This window comes from Homo sapiens, chromosome 11 (genome assembly GCF_000001405.40).
Source record: "Homo sapiens chromosome 11, GRCh38.p14 Primary Assembly".
NCBI lineage: Eukaryota > Metazoa > Chordata > Mammalia > Primates > Hominidae > Homo > Homo sapiens.
In genome coordinates, this window is record NC_000011.10 from 53694524 (window position 1) to 53696146 (window position 1623).

Here is a 1623-nt window from a genome sequence, read left to right on the forward strand (position 1 = left end):
GCATTGTGAGAAACTTCTTTGTGATGTTTGCATTCAACTCACAGAGTTGAACCTTGCTTTCATAGTTCAGCTTTCAAACCCTCTTTTTGTAGAATCTGCAAGTGGATATTTGGACCACTTTGTGGCCTTCCTTCGAAACGGGTATATGTTCACGTCAAACCTAGACAGAAGCATTCTCAGAATGTTTCCTGTGATGACTGCATTCAACTCACAGAGGTGAACAATCCTGCTGATGGAGCAGTTTTGAAACTCTCTTTCTTTGGATTCTGCAAGTGGATATGTGGACCTCTGTGAAGATTTCGTTGGAAACGGGTTCATCTTCACAGAAAAACTAAACAGGAGCATTCTCAGAAACTGCTTTGTGATGTTTGTGTTCCACTTCAAGAATTGAACTTTCCTCTTGACAGAGCAGCTCTGAAACCCTCTTTTTCTAGAATCTGCAAGTGGACATTTGGAGGGCTTTGAGGCCTGTGGTGGAAAAGGAAAATCTTCACATAAAAACTAGATGGAAGCATTCTCAGAAACTACTTTGTGATGATTGCATTCGACTCACAGAGTTGAACATTCCTATAGATAGAGCAGGTTGTAAACAATCTTTTTGTAGAATCTGCGATTGGAGATTTGGACTGCTATGAGGCCTACTGTAGTAAAGGAAATAACTTCATCTAAAAACCAAACGGAAGCATTCACAGACAATTCTTAGTGATCATTGCATTGAACTAACAGAGCTGAACATTCCTTTAGATGGAGCAGTTTCCAAACACACTTTCTGTAGAATCTGAAAGTGGATATTTGGACTTCTCTGAGGATTTCGTTGGAAACGGGATAAACTTCTCAGAACTACACGGAAGCATTGTGAGAAACTTCTTTGTGATGTTTGCATTCAACTCACAGAGTTGAACCTTGCTTTCATAGTTCAGCTTTCAAACACTCTTTTTGTAGAATCTGCAAGTGGATATTTGGACCACTTTGTGGCCTTCCTTCGAAACGGGTATATCTTCACATCAAACCTAGACAGAAGCATTCTCAGAATGTTTCCTGTGATGACTGCATTCAACTCACAGAGGTGAACAATCCTGCTGATGGAGCAGTTTTGAAACTCACCTTCTTTGGATTCTGCAAGGGGATATGTGGACCTCTGTGAAGATTTCGTTGGAAACGGGTTCATCTTCACAGAAAAACTTAACAGAAGCATTCTCAGAAACTGCTTTGTGATGTTTGTGTTCCACTTCAAGAATTGAACTTTCCTCTTGACAGAGCAGCTCTGAAACCCTCTTTTTCTAGAATCTGCAAGTGGACATTTGGAGGGCTTTGAGGCCTGTGGTGGAAAAGGAAAATCTTCCCATAAAAACTAGATGGAAGCATTCTCAGAAACTACTTTGTGATGATTGCATTCGACTCACAGAGTTGAACATTCCTATAGATAGAGCAGGTTGTAAACAATCTTTTTGTAGAATCTGCGATTGGAGATTTGGACTGCTTTGAGGCCTACTGTAGTAAAGGAAATAACTTCATCTAAAAACCAAACGGAAGCATTCACAGACAATTCTTAGTGATCATTGCATTGAACTAACAGAGCTGAACATTGCTTTAGATGGCGCAGTTTCCAAACACACTTTCTGT

The 1623-nt window shown here is 40.2% G+C and overlaps 1 annotated feature.

Annotated features, from left to right (window-relative positions):
* Nucleotides 1–1623: part of a centromere (Linear centromere model derived predominantly from reads generated in PMID: 17803354. This region does not represent an actual centromere sequence, as long-range ordering of repeats and unmapped WGS contigs is not provided by the model. For details of model production, see http://arxiv.org/abs/1307.0035.) that runs on past both edges of the window.